Source organism: Homo sapiens, chromosome 3 (genome assembly GCF_000001405.40).
Source record: "Homo sapiens chromosome 3, GRCh38.p14 Primary Assembly".
Taxonomy (NCBI): Eukaryota; Metazoa; Chordata; class Mammalia; order Primates; family Hominidae; genus Homo; species Homo sapiens.
In genome coordinates this window covers 119,963,415-119,983,124 of record NC_000003.12, presented here as the reverse complement: position 1 = coordinate 119,983,124, position 19,710 = coordinate 119,963,415, and the positions used below count along the sequence as shown (strand labels likewise).

The 19,710-nt window shown below is 38.8% G+C and overlaps 1 protein-coding gene across 4 annotated transcripts in view, besides 1 other annotated feature; it reads left to right on the top strand.

Annotated features, from left to right (window-relative positions):
• The window catches only part of GSK3B (glycogen synthase kinase 3 beta), a 273,127-nt gene that overhangs the window by 111,323 nt on the left and 142,094 nt on the right, over nucleotides 1-19,710 (top strand). The gene's annotated exons all lie outside the window — the stretch shown is intronic.
• Nucleotides 10,478-10,695: a silencer, noted in NCBI's record as "fragment chr3:119691277-119691494 (GRCh37/hg19 assembly coordinates)". NCBI's record gives its function as "represses an EF-1alpha promoter that drives an FKBP-Casp9 reporter gene in an ReSE screen in HepG2 liver carcinoma cells {active_cell/tissue: HepG2}" and the evidence as "EXISTENCE:reporter gene assay evidence [ECO:0000049][PMID:32094911]".

The following is a 19,710-nucleotide window of genomic DNA, read 5'->3' as shown; positions in this document are numbered from 1 at the left end:
CTCCTTCACTTATGAAGCTTAGTTTGGCTGGATATGAGATTCTGGGTTGAAAATTCTTCTTTAAGAATTTTGAATATTGGCCTCCACTTTCTTCTGGCTTGTAGGGTTTCTGCCGAGAGATCCACTGTTAGTCTGATGGCCTTCCGATTGTGATTAACTCGACCTTTCTCTATGGCTGCCCTTAACAGTTTTTCCTTCATTTCAACCTTGGTGAATCTGTCAATTATGTGTCTTGGGGTTGCTCTTCTCTTGGAGTATCTTTGTGGTGTTCTCTCTATTTCCTGAATTTGGATGTTGGCCTGCCTTCCTAGGTTAGGGAAGTTCTCCTGGATAATATCCTGCAGAGTGTTTTCCAACTTGGTTCCCTTCTCCCCATCACTTTCTACACCAATCAAACGTAGATTTGGTCTTTTCACATAGTCCCATATTTCTTGGAGGCTTTATTCATTTCTTTTCAGTCTTTTTTCTCTAACCTTCTCGCTTTATTTCATTAATATGATCTTCAGTGACTGATACCCTTTCTTCCACTTGATCGAATCAGCTATTGAAGCTTGTGCATATGTCATGACGTTCTTGTGCCATGATTTTCAGCTCCATCAGTTTATTTAATGTCTTCTCTACACTGTTTATTCTAGTTAGCCATTAGTCTAATCTTTTTTCAAGGTTATTAGCTTCCTTGCGATGGGTTTGAACATTCTCCTTTAACTCGGAGAAGTCTGTTATTACCGACCTTATGAAGCCTACTTCTGTCAACTCGTCAAAGTCATTCTCCTTCCAGCTTTTTTTCTGTTGCTGGCGAGGAGCTGCCATCCTTTGGAGGTGAAGAGGTGCTCTGATTTTAGAATTTTCAGCTTTTCTGCTCTGGTTCTCCTCATCTTTGTGGTTTTATCTACCTTCGTTCTTTGATGTTGGTGACCTACAGATGGGGTTTTGGTGTAGATGTCCTTTTTGTTGATGTTGATGCTATTCCTTTCTGTTTGTTTGTTTTCCTTCTAACAGATCCCTCAGCTGCAGGTCTGTTGGAGTTTGCTGGAGTTCCACTCCAGACCCTGGTTGCCTGTGTATCACCAGCAGAGGCTGCAGAACAACAAATACTGCAGAACAGCAAATATTGCTGCCTGATCTTCCTCTGGAAGCTTCGTCACAGCGGGGCAGCTGCCTATATGAGGTGTCTGTTGGCCCCTACTGGGAGGTATCTCCCAGTTAGGCTATACGGGGGTCAGGGACCCACTTGTGGAGGCAGTCTGTCTGTTCTCAGAGCTCAAATGCCGTGCTGGGAGGAACCACTGCTCTCTTCAGAGCTGTCAGATAGGGACGTTTATGTCTGCAGAAGTTGTCTGCTGCCTTTTATTCAGCTATGCCTTGCCCACAGAGGTGGAGTCTAGAGGCTGTAGGTGTTGTTGAGCTGTGGTGGGCTCTGCCCAGTTCGAGCTTCCCGGCCACTTTTTTTACCTACTCAAGCCTCAGCAATGGCAGACACCCTTCCCCAGCCAGGCTGCCGCCTGACAGATCGATCTCAGACTACTGCGCTAGCAGTGAGCAAGGCTCCGTGGGCGTGGGACCCGCCGAGCCAGGCACGGGAGAGAATCATCTTGTCAGCGGGTGCTAAGACCTTGGGAAAAGTGCAGTATTTGGGTGGGTAGTTTCCCATTTTTCCAGGTAGTCTGTCATGGCTTCCCTTGGCTAGGAAAGGGAAACCCCCGACTCCTTGCGCTTTGTGGGTGATGCAACGCCCCACCCTGCTTCAGCTTGCCCTCCATGGGCTGCACCCACTGTCCAACCATTCCCAATGAGATGAACCAGGTACCTCAGTTGGAAATACAGAAATTAGCCGTCTTCTGCGTCGATCATGCTGGGAGCTGCAGACAGGAGCTGTTCCTATTCGGCCATCTTGGCTACGCTGTTAACTTTTAGTAAACTTTACTTTTGTTGAAAACCTTGTAAGTTTGGGATTTTAATTATGTGCTAGGTGTAGAGCCCAGGACCTAGAAAGAAGTGCAGTTAAATGTTCTAGCATTTAACTCCACGTGTCGTAGGTTTTACCTAGCTGCAAAGCAGGCCAGTTGTCCAGCTAAGAGTTACAGTGACATTTTATAAAGCATTCAGGAGGCCTAATTACTTTTAAATTATACAACATTTCTTGTATAAATTCCCTTTTATAACATTTTTCATGACTTTCACAGACAATCCTTGACATGCCTCAACTTTCTGACTTGTAAACATCTCTTTCTTTAAACAACCAGTTAACTTAGGACAAGAATTTACCATATAAGATTCTTTTTCCATAACTTCTCCTTTCTTTAATGTCACAGATGATAACCATTCTTTCCCAAAGCAAACTTCCTTCATGTTTGTGGACTAGACTGCCTAAGCCACAAGATTAGAAGCTAAGATATTTTACTAAATAGTTTAAGATACAGCTATCTTCATTAAACCAATATTAATATTTCATTTATTAAAAAATTACACAAGGCTGGGTGCGGTGTCTCACGCCTGTAATGCCAGCACTTTGGGAGGCCAAGACGGGTGGGTTACCTGAGGTTGGGAGTTTGAGACTAGCCTGACCAACTTGGAGAAACCCCATCTCTACTAAAAATACAAAAAATTCCCCGGGCGTGGTGGCACATGCCTGTAATCCCAGCTACTTGGGAGGCAGAGGCAGGAGAATGGCTTGAACCCATGAGGCAGAGGTTGTGGTGAGCTGAGATTGTGCTATTGTACTTCAGCCTGGGCAACAAGAGCGAAACTCTGTCTTAAAAAAAAAAATGACACAAGCAAAGATGATTTTGTTTGGGCTGAGTTAGTTTTGCAGCCTCTATGCAAAATGTTGACACCTTACAGTATTTGGCCGAGAAAAGTATGAATTTGCCTGATTAACAAATGCAAACAAAAAGGTATGCTGGCAACTTTTAAGATACTTCTAACTTTAGTGTACCAGTAAGATTTAAAGATTAAGGTCACGTGAACTGAAAGGTCCCACAGCTTTTACTTTTCCCTTAAAAATATTTGATTTAAGTGCTTAGTTTTCTTAGGCCAATTAATTAGAGCTCTTTTAATAGACATTGCACAGACAACACATATATAGCCACACAGACAACCAGAAGAAGATTCAGTAGCTATAACGTTTTTTTTTTCTCTCTGCTAATTTCCCAATTGGATTATTGACCTTCAGGTGAGGCCCTTGAAGAACAGGACTAGGAAAACAGTTTCCAGGGTCTAATAAACAGGTATAGCTGGAAGACAAATACAAAGATTTTGAGAGGTACTTATTTACCTCTAATTCCACGGTTTCCATAAGGAAAACAGATTTTTCCCCAAAATGGGATTTGTGGTGCCTTTTCTCTTTTCCAAAGGAATCCCAGGGCACCAGAAGTCATTTTAGGGTTTTTTACATATGCACCAAGAGTTGCAAGACACAGTGAAGAAAAGTAATTGAGTTAACTGGGGGAAAACCTTTTCCAGGAAAATAAGATTGATGAAGAGAAAACTATAAAGACCTTTTGAATATACTCATAGTTTTGATCTGTGACAAGTCAGACATGGAGAAAGAGACATGAACATGAGCAGTGCCTTTAACTCCAGCCACTTCCCAGAGAGGGAGAATGGCAGAGGTGGTTTTTGAATGGGTAACAGGTGGAGGAGGAGGAGGAGTGGGGTTTGGGGCTGAAGGCTTGGAGGCAGGTAGGGCCACCAGGGTGGAGGGTTTGGACAGGCTAGGAGCAGATGCAGGGGGATAAGAATACAGAGAGGGTTCATCTGCAGGGTCAAAAGGAGTTTCGGAGGAAGGAGAGACCCGGAGAGGGTTTTTAATAAGAAGAAAGATTTTATAAGAGGTACAAGCTTGACACAGGTAGGGTTGGGATTTAAGGTAGAAGTAGAAGAAGGCCTGAATATAGAGAACCTCTTGCCATTTGCCATTCCTGGTCATAAAGTTGTGAAGTTCCTGAGAATTTGCAAGTTAAAGATGCCATTTTCGGACCATGGGCTGCCATTATCTAATGTGTTTTGGGGCCAGGCTGTGTTACAGTAAAAGACTAAACACTTAAGCCAACTTTGGCGAGGTCATGAAGGAGACAGCACAGTGGAGAGACCGTAGGAATGTGGAATTGTTTGGCACCCATGTGGACTGGTGAGAAGAAGCCGAGGGTGTCTGTTTTTGTTCTAGGCATCCCCAGACAAAAGACAGAAGTCCGGAATCGTCTTTCTGAAGAGGACAGTCATCAAGCTGAGAAGAAACTGGGCATCCCCAAGATTTCCTCTAGCTTAGTCCTGCTGGTCCTCTGAGGACCGGGATGGCTGACCTGACTTTTCCTGGGTACTGCAAGAAAGCCAGGGGACGGCAGATCTTACCAGTTGGCTGGATTAGTGTCCAATGTTGGATGTTCCGGTTGGATTTGGCAAAGGGCCTCCTGGACTGCAGCCGCACGAGGGAGAGAGAGAGAGGAAGAAAAAAAAAGGGAGGATGAGGGAAAAGTGAAGTGAGAGAAAAGATGGGGCATGTGGCCAGAGACCCTCAGGATCCAGGAATTAACTCAAGATGAGCTGCTGTTGCCCACTGCTTCCTGGGTTGCAAGAGAGCCTCTGCCCCCAGCACTCATCCCGGGTTTGGGCACCAAATGTAAGAGTTAAAGAAAGGAAAGAAACACAAAACGCGGCTGGCAGTTAAAGACAGGTTTATTTTAGACAAAACCTGAGAGGCACTCCTGGCCGATTTCGTTAAGAAGTGTTTCCTTTTACAGACTAAGAATATATATTGGTTTTAGGGCGAGGGGGCTTATCACAAGCTTGGAATATTTATGTGTGTGGAGAATTTTATGGCGGGGTTGGAATCTCTTTGGGAGGAGGGGAGGTTATCTTGGGGCAGACATCTTTCCGGCCCAGAGAGGGGTTTATTTTGAGGCTAGTATGTCTCTGATCTGGGAGGAGTTTGGAATGTTTCAGGTTGGTGATGTTGTTTGTGGTTTATGGTCATGCTGACCTTAGCCATTAGGGGGATGCCCTTTGGATTTAGGCAGTTTCTTATTAAGGTGAATTTTAGAATGAGGGGCTTGTTCAAGATGGTGATGTTCCTGCTCTGTCATCTGTGAAATTTATGACCCTCAATTTCACTGCCTGTAAAATGGGGACGGTACTAATACAGCAATGCCCAGCCCAGTGTTTGGTACATAAAGGAACTCAGTAAACATTATTGTGCTGCCTTTTTTCTCTTCTTCAGTGTTTTGTGAATCAAATGGAACAAAGTTTTATGACAACATTTTCTAAGTTTTAAAACTCCTTATAACTAAACTCTTTGTTTTTATTCTTAAGGTTGTAAGTTACTACACACTGCTATACGTCAAATTTTTTCCCCCTATTGGTTTTATACTCTCTTAAATTTGGTAATTCTGTTTTCAGGCACCTAATTATTAGTATTTTATATAGCCATTTAAGTCACTTGTAAAAAATCTATTTGCTGATAAAACCGATAGAAACTTGAAAGAAATAGTAATCTTTGTGCTATGTGTAGCACTGTTCTTTAAGTCATGGAAATTTGTAGTTTTCAAGTGGAGGCTATAATTAGGTGGAAGAAAAGGGAAGGACAGCTACAAGTTGGATAGGAAAAGTGTTACATTGCCAGTACAGCTCTAAGAAAGTAACAGCATGGCAATGGGAGTCCTCAAACCAAAGTTACCAAGTCAGAGGAGTTCAGTTTTTCCTGGGAAAAGGTCTCCATTAAGTATGCCTGCTGTTCTCAGTCATATAGGCTGGGAATCTTTGCCTGTCCCCAGCAAGAGAATGGATTTGATAGGTCAGCAGTTGGGACCATTGATAATGATGTTCCTTGCAGTGGGAAACCTGAGAGGCAGGTTTTCATACAAAGTTTCATTAAAACTTTCATACAGAGTTTCTTAAGGATACAGACTGTTTTATGCTGCTTTTATAGTTTCTGAAGAGCCTAGGTAGGTTAAATACATTTTTAAAATTTTAATGGAATTTTCAGGGAATTAACAAAGATTGATGTGGAAGAACTGTATTGAGTTTGCTGTTAAAATTATATATAGTTTTATTGCCTCCTTGATTGTTCCACTGAGAAAAAATGGAGGCACGATATTTGATATTTGTGGACTTGAATTTCTTCTTTCTGGCTTTCAGTGTCTTGAGTGGTTTGAGAGAAGGAGAAATAAAACTTGATATAAGGCATAATGTGCTTTTTAAGTTTTCTCACTTTTTTTGAGTTTACTGTTATTTTGTGTTTATACTGTTTCAAATTCCCATATATATCTGAGGTAAGGCCAAAAGCAGTATTGAATATCAGGAGTTAAAGTTACTCTTTTGACTAGTTTCACTAAAACCTTTCTATTTTTTTTTTTTTTTTTTTTGTGGGGAGTGGTCAGCTGCTTGATATATTTATTTATAACAACCTTATTGAGATATAATTAATGTGATGTATATTTACCCTTTTAAAGGATATAACTCATTGGTTTTAGTATAGTCACAGAGTTAGGCAACTATCACTACTATCTAATTCCAGAATATTTTCATCTCAAAATGAAACTGTGTACCCATTAGCAGTCACTCCCTATCCTTTCCTTCCCCCAGGCCCTGGAAACTACTGATCTACTACCTGTCTATGGATTTGCCCATCCTGGAATCACACAATGTACGATCTTTTGTGTCTGGCTTCTTTCACTTAGAATAGTATTTTTGAAGTTGATTCCTGTTGTAGCATGTCTCAGTACTTCATTCCTTTTATGGCTGAATAATATTCCATTGTATGGACATGCCACATATGGTTTATCTGTTCATCAGCTGATGAACATTTAGATTGTTTATACTTTTTGGCTGTTATGAATGATGCTACTATGAATATTTGTGTCAAGTTTTTGTGGGGAAATAGGTTTTCATTTCTCTTTAGTGTGTTCCTAGGAATGGAATCACAGGCCCATAAAGTGATTAAATGATTAACAGTTTGAAGAAATATTAACCTATTTTCTAAAGCAGCTGTACCTATTTTCTAAAGCAGCAATCCCCCAACAATGTATGAGCATTGCAATTTCTCTGCAACTTTGATAGCACTTGTTATTATCTAGTTTTTTATTATACCCATCCTCGTGGGTGTGAAGTGGTATCTCATTGACATATTAATTTGCATTTTCTGCTGTTCTATATCTTTTCATGTGCTTATTGGTGGTTTTTATGTCTTCTTGGGGAGAAATGTCTATTTGAACAGTTGTAGTTTTACAGAAAAGTGAGTGGAAAGTACAGAGAATTGCCATATATACACTCATTCCAACCCCATCTCTAGAGTTTCCAATATTACTGGTGCCTTGGTGTAGTACATTTGTGACAATCAATATACCATTATTTATACATTATTATTAACTAAAGTTTAGAGTTTGCCTTATGGTTCACTCTTTGTGTTGTACAGTCTGTGGGTTTTGACAATTGTATAGGGACATGTATCTACTATTAGAGTATCATACAAAATACTGCACTAAAAATTTCCTGAATAACACCTACTCATTTTTCCCTTCTTCAAGACACTTGATAACTGTTGATCTTTTTACTATTTCCATAGTTTTGCCTTTTCTTGGAATCATACAGTATATAGCCTTTTCAGATTAGCTTTTTTTCTCAGCAATATGCATTTAAGGTGCCTGCATAACTTTGTGATATGATAGCTCATATCTTTTTTTTTGAGTTGGAGCTTTGCTCTTGTGCCAAGGCTGGAGTGCAGTGGCACAATCTTAGCTCACTGCAACTTCCGCCTCCCAGGTTCAAGCGATTCTCCTGCCCCAGCCTCCCAAGTATTTGAGATTACAGGCGTGTACCACCACACCCAGCTAATTTTTGTATTTTTAGTAGAGACTGGGTTTCACCATGTTGGCCAGGCTGGTCTCGAACTCCTGACCTCAGGTGATCCACCTGCCTCGGCCTTCCAAAGTTCTGGGATTACAGGCTTCAGCCACCGTGCCCAGCCGATAGCTCATTTCTTTCTAGTGCTGAATAATATTTTATTTATGGATATATCACAATTTGTTCATCCATTTACCTGTTGCGGGACATCTTGGTTTGGGTAGCTGAAGTTTAGACAATTATGAATAAAGGTGCTGTAAACATTCATGTGCAGGTTTTTATGTGGTCATATTTTCAGTCCATTTGAGTAAATACCAGGTAGTACAATTGCTGTGGTAAGAGTAAGTTTAGTTTTGTAAACAAGTGCTAACCTGTCTTCTAAAGTGGCTGTGTAAAATAATTTCGTATTCCCACCAGCAATGAGTGAGTGTTCTTGTTGCTCCACATCCTCACCGTCCTTTGGTGATGTCAGTGTTTTGGATTTTAGCCATTCTAATAGGTGTGTAGTAGTAGTATGCCAGTGTATTAATTTGCAATTCCCTGATGACATATGATGTTGAACATCTTCTTATATGCTTTATTTTCCCATCTGTTTACCTCTTTTGATGAGGTATCTGTTCAGGTCTTGTCTTAGTCCATTGAAGTAGCTAAAATACCATAAACATGGGTGGGTTATAAGTAACAGAAATTTATTTCTTATGGTTATGGAGACTAGGGAAGTGTAAGATCACTGGCAGATTCAGTGTCTGGTGAGGGCTTGTTTTCTGGTTCATAGATAGTGCCTTCTTGCTGTGTCCTTCCGTGGGGGCATCTTTTATAAGGGTATTAATCTCAGAGTCCTGGGGCTTCTGGGGCATCTTTTATAAGGGTATTAATCTCAGAGTCCTCATAGCATGATCACCTCCCAACAGCCCTACCTCCTAATACCATCACATTGATGCTTAGGTTTCAGTGTATGAGTTTGATAGGCTAGTCTACTAACATTCAGACCATAGCAAGCCTTTTGTCCAATTTTAATTGAGTTGTTGGTTTTCTTATTGTTGAGTTTTAAGAATTCTTTGTATGTTTTGGGTAACAGTCATTTATCAGATACGTATTTTGCAAAGACTTTTCCTAGAGTGTGTGACTTTTCATTCATGTCTTCCTCAGAGCAGACATTTCTAATTTTAACGAAGTTCAACTTACCAAATTTTTTCTTTCATGGATGTGTTTTTTATGTTGTATTTTAAAAGTCACCACCAAACCCAAGGACACCTAGATTTTTTTCCTGTTATCTTCTAGGAGTTTAATAGCTTTTCATTTTACAGTTAAGTCTATGATCCATTTCAAGTTAATTTTTGTGAAAGGTATAAGGTCTATGCTTAGATTCATTTCTTTAATTGTGTCTGTCCAGTTTTTCCAGCACTACAGTTATTTCCCCTTACTTTCGGGGGTATGTTCCAAGACCCCCAGTGGATGCCTAAAACCATGAATAGTACCGAATCCTATATGTACCATTTTTTTCTTATACATGTGTTCTGTGATAAAATTTAATTTACAAATTAGGCACAGTAAGTGATTAAAACAAAATAATAAAATAGAACAATTATATAATTACAGTATACTGTAAAAAAGTTATATGAATGTGGATTATCTCCCTCTCTCTCAAAATATTTATTGTGCTGTAACCACCCTTCTTCTTGTGATGATGTGAGATGATAAAATGCCTACATGATGAGATAGTGAGGTGAGTGACATAGGCCTTGTGACATAGCCTTAGGCTACTACTGACCTTCTAACCATATGCCAGTAGGAGAATAATCTGCTGTGAATGATCCTAGATCAGTGAGCCATAATAATGTCCATGGTTAGACGTCAAGAGCAGACAATGCCGATGACTAACGGGCAGGTAGTATATACAGTGTGGATGTGCTGGACAAATAGAGGATTTATATTCCTAGTGGGATAGAGCAGGACAGCGTGAGATTTCATCACACTACTCAGAACAGTGTGCAATTTAAAATTTATGAATAGTTTATTACTGGAATTTTACATTTAATATTTTGGAACTGTGGTTGACTGTAGGTAACTGAAACTGTGGAAAGCGAAAGTGCGGGTAAGGAGAGACTAATGTAGTAGTAGTAGTAGTAATAATGCTTACTACTTAGGGTTAATATAATGATTAAATGTGGTAATGAATGTGAAATGCTTAATCCAATGACTGGCACAAAGTAAGGTCTCACTTAGTGGCAGCTTTTACGATTAGCAGTAGTTCCTCAATATTGGAAAGTGTAGAATTCTGAGGAGCCAGGCATCCACTGATCTTTTTCTAAATTATACCACAGACAAGCATCAGTCAAATTGGAAGCCTAGGAAAACTATTATTTAGACAAACAATTGTAACAAACGTGGCTCTTTTAACTTCTATAGAACTGTTTTTTGTTATTGTTTTTTAATAACAAAATATTATGGTACAAAACAATTGAAAGCTTCTAGTTTTTCATAGGTCCTACAATTGCAAAAAGGTATAATTGCTTAAAAAATCCATATCACAGAACAGTAAAAAGAAAAAAATAGGTGGGCGCGGTGGCTCACACCTGTAATTCCAGCGCTTTGGGAGGCCGAGGCAGGTGGATCACGAGGTCAGGAGATCGAGAACATCCCGGCTAACTTGGTGAAACCCCATCTCTACTAAAAATACAAAAAATTAGCTGGGCTTCGTGACAGGCACCTGTAGTCCCAGCTACTCGGGAGGCTGAGGCAGGAGGGTGGCGTGAACCTGGGAGGCGAAGCTTGCAGTGAGCCGAGATCGCACCACTGTACCCCAGGCTGGACTACAGAGCGAGACTCCGTCTCAAAAAAACAAACAAACAAACAAACAAAATAGATAAAAATTATCTTTTTTCCCCTCCCCTTAATTCTGTTTTTCATTATAGAATTTGTAGGTCCTTCTAAATCTTTTTCTGTGGATAGGAATCATAAGAAATGAAGCCCATCTTGATTTCTTATGATGCCTATCATATACCTTATTTGAATCTCATTTATTATGATGCCTATCTTATACCTTATTTGAATCTCATTGTGTTGTACCTTGAAATTTCTTACATAAAGTTTCTGTTAGAGGTAAAATGTTATTAGCTCTTACCTGTATAACAGCTATCTATATAGACACCTAAATTGGTTAATTATTGCTAAGAGAACTAAACATTTAGTAAAGTTGTTTTATAAAAGTAGTCTTAGACTACTAAGTGACTTGACCATAAGCCAGAAGGAGGGTCATCTCCTTTATTTCTTACAGTTCTGGAGGCTAGGAAGAAATTAGGGAACTTAGTTAAGAAAATAAGTTTAATTTTTAAAGAAATTAGGGAACTTTAATTGCCTTATAAAAATTTTATTGCAGGCCGGGCGCGGTGGCTCACGCCTGTAATCCCAGCACTTTGGGAGGCCGAGGCGGGCGGATCACGAGGTCAGGAGATCGAGACCATCCCGGCTAAAACGGTGAAACCCTGTCTCTACTAAAAATACAAAAAATTAGCCGGGCGTAGTGGCGGGCGCCTGTAGTCCCAGCTACTTGGGAGGCTGAGGCAGGAGAATGGCGTGAACCCGGGAGGCGGAGCTTGCAGTGAGCCGAGATCCCGCCACTGCACTCCAGCCTGGGCGACAGAGCGAGACTCCGTCTCAAAAAAAAAAAAAAAAAAAAAAAAAAAATTATTGCAAATAGTTTAAGTATCAATATGTTTTATATCAGACTTTTTAGGAAGAGATGTATACCCAAATATATAAGGCCAGTTACTAAAACTATGGAAGCTATAATGAAATTCTGTTAGCAAGCTGTGGGGCTTTTACTAATTCTGCCCTAAAACTCTTCCAGTCAAAAGCAATGATCAAATTATTACTAGAGCATAAGTAAATGTTTATGGTATAAATGAAACTGTACCTGTAGGAGTTTTAATACATTTAAAATTTAAAAATTCTACAAAATGGTTGGTTTCTTTTAAAAATTCTAGTTTTGTGATGTTTTAATCCAGAAATTGAATCTTGACTGAAGTTGGTCTTCCCATACTTGAAATTTATGTTTTAAAATTTGGATGGGGATGGGGAGAAACTATAAGTAAAACCTACAGCATTCTGAGGTCCAAAACTTCCTAGATTGCTTCAACTTCAATCCATTTGGGGAATTTTGGAGACATTTGTCATTTATATAAGAAAGTTAATGATTAAACTTTGAGAAGTCAGTATATCATGGAAACTTTTACCTTAATGATATTATTCTGAAAAGAATATAATCATACAGTGGAATCTATGCAGTTATTTTAAAAATATGCTTCTTAATGTGGGAGATATTCTAATTGTTTAAGAAAAGTCTACAAAACAGTGAAGTGATATTTTCATTTAGACAACAAAAAAGAATATAGCCTATCAGAGTATTTACAGAAATAGTTTTCATGATGCTCCAGAACAGTAAGTGATGATTGTTTTTGTTTTTTATTTTTTGTTTTTTTTGTTTGTTTGTTTGTTTTTTTGAAACGGAGTCTCACACTGTCGCCCGGGCTGGAGTGCAGTGGCGCGATCTCAGCTCACTGCAACCTCTACCTCCCAGATTCAAGCGATTCTCCTGCCTCAGCCTCCTGAGTAGCTGGGATTACAGGCATCTGCCACCATGCCCGGCTAATTTTTTTTTTTTTTTTTTTTTTTTAATTTTAGTAGAGACGGGGTTTCACTGTGTTGGCCAGGCTGGTCTCAAACTCCTGACCTTGTGATCCACCGGCCTTGGCCTCTCAAAGTGTTGGGATTACAGGCGTGAGCCACCGCGCCCGGCTGATCGTTTTTGTTTTTTATTCTCACCAGCAGGGTATCCCAAGGCTTGGTTTAGTCAGTCTCTTTAATTTTAGCTATTCTAATAGGTGTATAGTGGTATTTCATTGTAGTTTTAATTTGCATTTTTAAAATGACTAATAGTGTTGAATATCTTTTCGCATTTATTTGCCATCCGTATATTGTCTTTGGTGAAGTTTCTCTTCAAATCTTTTACCCATTTTAAAAGATTGAATTGTTTCCCCCGCCCCTTATCTGAGAAGGATACATTCCAAGACTCCCAGTGAATTCCAGAAACTGCAGATGGCACTAAAACCTGTATATACTGCATTTTTGTATACATACATACCTATAGTAAAGTTTATAAATCAACACAGTAAGAGATTAACAACAATAATATGACAGTGTCACTACTCTTGTGCTTTGGCACCATTATGATAAGTAACACAAGGGTTACTGGAACCCCTGCAGTTGATCTGCTAACTGTGAGAGGGCTGCTATGTGATGAATGGGCAGGTAACATGTTCAGTATGGACAAGCTAGACAAAGGGATGATTCATGACCTGGTAGGAGGGACTGGGATGGCATGAGATTTCACCACGCTACTCAGAACGATGGCAATTTAAAATTCATTCATTATTCCTGGAATTTTCCATTTATTATTTTTGGACTGTGGTTAACTGAAATTGTGGAAAATGTATCCACGGAAAATGAAACCGTGGATAAATGTTTAGACTACTCTACTTGTTGAAAAGACTATCCTTTCTCCATTGAAATTGCTTTGTTCCTTTGTGAAAGTTTAGTTGACCATATTTGTTTGCTAGTTCTGGGCCATCTGTTACTGTTCCAGTAATCTCTTCTTTCACCAGTACCATGCTGTCTTTATTCCTGTAGCTTTATAGAAAGCCTTGAAGTCAGGTACTGTCATTCGGCTGACTGTTGTTCAATACTGTGATGACTATTCTGAATCTTTTGCCTTTCCATATAAATTTTAGAATCAGTTTGTTGATATCTGCAATGTAACTTGCTGGGATTCTGATTGATACTGCATTGAATTTGCAGATCAAGTTGGGAAGAACTGGCATCTTAATATTGAGTGTTCTTATCCATGTACATGATGTAAGTTTCCATTTATTTAGACCTTCCTTGACTTTTTTGGTAACAGTTTTATAGTTTTCATCATATAGATTTTTTTTTTTTTTTGAGATGGAGTCTTGCTTTGTCACCCAGGCTGGAGTACGTTGGCGCAATCTCGGCTCACTGTAACCTCCGCCTCCTGGGTTCAAGCAATTCTCCTGGCTCAGTCTCCCAAGTAGCTGGGATTACAGGCGTGTGCCACCACACCTGGCTAATTTTTGTATTTTTAGTAGAAACGGGGTTTCACGGTGTTGGCCAGGTTTGTCTTGAACTCCTGACCTCAGGTGATCCACCCACCTCCGCCTCCCCAAGTGCTGGGATTACAGGCATGAGCCATCACTCCCGGCCTCATGATATAGATCTTGTACATATTTTGTTAGATTTATACCTAAGCATTTCATTTTTGCGGGTGCTTATTATGTTTTAATTTTAATGCCAATTGTTCCTGATATATGAGAATACAGTTGACTTTTGTACATTAATTTTGTATCCTGCAACTTTACTATAATTGCTTATTAGTTCTAACTGTTTATTTGTGGTTGATTCCTTGAGGTTTTCTTCACAGGCAGTAATGTTATTGGCGAGCAAAGACAGTTTTATTTTTTCTGTACCAATCTGTATACTTGCTATTCACATCCCTTATTTTTTTTTGGCATATTGCATCTTACACAATTTTGCTTTGTAGCATCTATTTTCTCACCATTAAATGTGATGTTAGCTGTAGAGTTTTTTATTGTACTTTATCAAGCTGAAGAAGTAAATTTGAATTTTACCAAATGCTTTTTCAGCATCTATATATATGATCAGTTTGTTTTTCTTCCTTAGCTTGTTGATGTGATGGATTACATTAATTGACAAATGTTAAACCAGTCTTGCATACCTGGAATAAATGTCACTTGCTCGTGATGTATAAGTATTTTTATACATTGTTGGATCAGTTTGCTAATGTTTTGTTGCAAATTTTTGAATCTGTGTTTGTAAGAGATTGGTCAGTAGTTTTCCTTTTTTATAATGTTTTTGTCCAGTTTTGGGTTAATTTCTTTGTGTGATGTAAAGAAGTGGTCCAGGCTGGGTGTGGTGGCTCACACTTGTAATCCCAGCACTTTGGCCAAGGCAGGTGGATCACTTGATGCCAGGAGTTTGAGACCACCCTGGGCAACATAGGGAGCCCCTATCTTTATGAAACATTAAAAAATAAAAAATGGGCTGGACGTGGTGGCTCACGCCTGTAATCCAGCACTTTGGGAGGCCCAGGTGGGAGGATCACAGGGTCAAGAGATGGAGACCATCCTGGCTAACACGGTGAAACCCCGTCCCTACTAAAAATACAAAAAATTAGCCGGGTGTGGTGGCACGTGCCTGTAATCCCAGCTACTCAGGAGGCTGAGGCAGGAGAATTGCTTGAATCCGGGAGGCAGAGGTTCTAGTGAGTGGAGATTGTGCCACTGCACTCCAGCCTGGGTGAGAGCGAGACTCTTTCAAGAAAGAAAGGAGAGAGAGAGAGAGAGAGAGAGAGAGAGAGAAAGAGAAAGAGAGAAAGGGAGGGAGGGAGAGAGGGAGAGAGAGAGAGAGAAAAGAAAGAGAAAGAAAAGAAAAGGAGGGGAGGGGAGGGGACGGGACGGGAGAAAGGAAAAGAAAAGAAGTGGTACAGCTTCAGTCCTTTACAGCTGAATATCCAGTTGTCCAAAGCTTCATTTGTTGAAAAATCTATTCTTTTGTTATAGAATTGTGTTGACAACCTTGTCAAAATCTGTTGGCTATAAACATTTTTGGACTCTGAATTCTCTTTCATTGATTGATAACATATGTCCTTATGCCAGTACCACACTGTCTTGATTACTTTGTCTTTGTAAAAAGATATGAAATATGAGTCCTCCAACTTCTTCTTTACAAGATTATTTTGACTATCTGAGTGCACACAAATTTCCATATGAATTTTAGGATTATCTTATCAATATCTTTTTTTTAAAAAAAAGATAGCTGGCCAGGCGCAGTGGCTCACGCCGGTAATCCCAGCACCTTGGGAGGCCGAGGCGGACATATCATGAGATCAGGAGTTTGAGACCAGCCTGGCCAACATAGTGAAACTCCGTCTCTACTAAAAATACAGAAATTAGCCAGGCATGGTGGCACACGCCTGTAGTCCCAGCTACTCAGAGGCTGAGGCAGGAGAATCGCTTGAACCCGGGAGGTGGAGGTTGCAGTGAGCTGAGTTCAGGCCACTGCACTCCAGCCTGGGCAACAGAGCAAGACTCCGTCTAAAAAAAAAAAAGGTAGCTGTAATTTCAACAGGATTGTAGTGGATCTGTAGATCAATTTTGGGAATATTGCCATCTTAACATTATTAAGTCTTCCAATCCATGATTATAGATTGTCTTTATTTATATCTTTCTATGAGATTTTAGAGTTTTCAATGTATAAGTCTTACATTCATTTGTTAAATTTATTCCTGAATGTTCTTTTTGATGTTATTATATTTGGATTTTTTTTCCTCTTAAGTTCTTTTGCAGTGTGTTCTTTGCTAGTACTTCATTATTTTGACATCTTTTCAGTATGTAATGTTAAACTCTGTCCTGAGTTTATTTTAATATTAAGATAGGTTACATTTTATAAAGATCACCCTGAGATAAAAAATCTATCTAGATAGGGAATGGTGGTGAAGTAATAGCTATTCCTGAACTCTAGGGTTTAATTTCTATTTTTCTGTAAATTATTGGAAAAGGACTTTGTTGTTAACCCCCAGCCAGTCTCTCTGATTCCTTAATGTGGTTGGCGATTATAATACCTGAAGGTACTTGTACTTGCCTGTGCCTCTTTTCCATCAGTACTAGGGTTTCTTATTTTCCTAATCCTCCCAAGTTACTGAATAGAGAGCCCTTTAAGAAATTGGAGAAGTCATTTTACCTCTCTAAATTTGTTTCTTCTTGGTAAGATGTAGGATGAAATATTTAATAATCATTTTAAGTTTTTTCATACTTAAGTGAGAGTGCTCACATAAATAGCTTCTTTAATCTGTAAAGAAATATTCAAATATTAGGGTTCCTTTCTCTTCAAATTAGAATTTTCCTTTCTTAGCTTGGGATAATCTATCAAGATTTATCTGAATAAGCTACTTCACCTCACCTTTCTGTTAAAAAACCTCCACTGAGTTTTTGCATTACAAGATCAAGTGTGAACTAAGGCTGGCCAACTCAGGTTGTATATACTGTGTGCAAAGGACTACATTGGATGTTGTGTAGGTTACAAGGAGACATATGAACAGTCTGTGCAATCAAGGAGTTTATAGTCTATGTGAAGTGTTAAGTGAATTGTCTAGTTTGGTGCCAGCTGTGGGAGTTCATGATTTATATGATAGACTATCTTCCTGTAGATTCCCCGGAAAATTGTGCTCACATGAAATCTTAGAGAACCTACAAGATTTATAAACATAGTAACTGTTTATGATAGATAACAACCAAACTGAATTTCTAGGGCTTTATTGAGGAGAGTGTTTATCTAGGCACTGACCATGTTACTACCCAACTCTTGGTAATGCCTTTAAAATTTTTTTAAATTATTTTTGGCAGACACTCTGTGTGAGGTACAGATTTTCAGTCCTTTGAACACAATAAATGAATGAAAATTGATCTGAAGAGAATATTAAAACATTTTCACTTGAATCTTCACAATCTACCAGTACTAGGGTTTCTTATTTCCTAGGTAGATGGAAAGTGTTTTCGATGAATTTGGACCAGAATTGGTACAAAAATCAAAGAATTCAAAATATTAAATTATTTTGTCTCTCTTTAAGATTGTTATAATTTGATTAAGTATTCTTTTTTAGTGTCATCAGAAAAATAAAGCATAGGCTGGGCATGGTGGCTGATGCCTGTAGTCCCAGCACTTTGGGAGGCCAAAGCGGGAGGATTGCTTGAGCTCAGGAGTTCAAGACTAGCCTGGGCAACCTAGTCTCTTTTATAGAGACCTTGTCTCTATAAAAATAAAAAAAAAAAATGGCTGGGCACGGTGGCTAACACCTGTAGTCTCAGCACTTCGGGAGGCTGAGGCAGGTGGATCATTTGAGGTCAGGAGTTCAAGACCAGCCTGGCCAACATGGTGAAACCCCGTCTCTACTAAAAAAAAAAAAAAAATACAAAAATTAGTCGGACTTGGTGGCAGGTGCCTGTAAGCCCAGCTACTTGGGAGGCTGAGGCAGGAGAATCACTTAAACCCAGGAGGTGGAGGTTGCAGTGAGCTGAGGTCACACCACTGCACTCCAGCCTGGGCAACAGAGCAAGACTTTCTGTCTCAAAAAAAAATTAAAAAAAAAAAAAAAAAAAGAAAACATAATATTACAAAAACCTATAATTCAATTATTTTGCTTTTGATTTGTTTGCTGTGTTAAAAATGAGCTTTTAGATCGGCCTTCCCTAGCTTTATTGAGATATAATTGGTATATTTAAAAACTGCATATAATTAATGTGTGCAATTTAATGCATTTGGACAAATATGTGTGCTCATCTTACCATCACCACAGCCAAGATAATAAACATATATCTATTGCCTCCAAAAGTTTCATTATGCCCCTTTCTTACTGTTTTTCATTTTTTTGAGAGGGTAGGTAAGAATATTTGACATGACATTTACCCTCTTAGCAAATTTTCAAAAGTTCACCTTGTTAATTATAGGCCCTATGTTGGAAAGCATATCTCTGTAACTTACTTATCTTGTATAACTAACTTTATACCGTTGAACAACAACTCTCCATATCTTCCTCCCCTGTCTCCTAGTAACCACCATTCTATTGTCTACTTATATAGGTTTGATTCCTTGTTATGAAAAATAATGCAGTATTTCTCCTTCTGTGACTAACTTATTTTGCTTAGCATAGCGTATTTTCCAGGTTCATCTGTGTTGTCACAAGTGGTAAGATTTCCTTCTTATTAAAAAAACTTGTAATATTTATTCTATTGTATGTATATACCACATTTTTCTTATCAATTCATCTGGGTTTTCCCATCTTTGCTATTGTGAATAATGCTGCAATGAATATGGGAGTGCAGGTATCTTTTTGAGACCCTAATTGCAATTCTTTTGGATGTTTACCCAGAAGTGGGATTGTTGGATCATATGGTCTTTTTGCATATGCCTGTTGGTCGTATGTATGTCTTCTTTGTCTATTCCAGTCCTTTGCTTATTTTTTATTCATCTCATTTTTTGCTGTTGAGTTATAGGAGTTTGTTATATTTTCTGAAATTAACTCCTTGTCAGACATTTGGTTTGCAAATATTTTCTTCCATTCCATAGGCTGCCTTCTTACTCTGTTGATGGTTTCTTTTGCTGTGTAGAAGCTTTTTAGTTTGATATAGTCCCACTTGTCTATTTTTGGCTTTTGTTGCCTGTTATCCAAGAAATTATTGACAAGAACAGTGTCAAGAAGGTTTTCTCTGATGATTTCTTCAAAGGGTTCTACGTTTTCAGATCTTATGTTTAAATCTTTAATCCATTTTAAGTTAATTTTTGTGTATGGTGTAAGATAAGGTTCCAATTTCATTCTTTTGGATATGGGTATCCAGGTTTTCCAACACCATTTATTGAAAAAACTGTCCTTTCTGCATTGTAAATTATTGGCACCTTTGTTGAAGATCCATTGACTTTATTTCTGGATTTTCTGCTCTGTTCCATTTGTCCATGTGTTTTTTTTCTTTTTCTTTCTTTTTTCTTTTTTTCTTTCTTTTTTTTTTTTTTTTTTTGTGGGGAAGAAGACAGTCTCTACTCTGTTGCCTAGGCTGGAGTGCCGTGGCATAATTTCAGCTCACTGCAATCTCTGCCTCCCAGGTTCAGGCGATCTCCCACCTCAGCCTTCCAAGTAGCTGGGATTCATATGTCTGTTTTTATATGCTTGTATCATACTGTTTTGATTACTGTAGTTTTATAAAATATTTTGAAATGAGGAGTGTGATG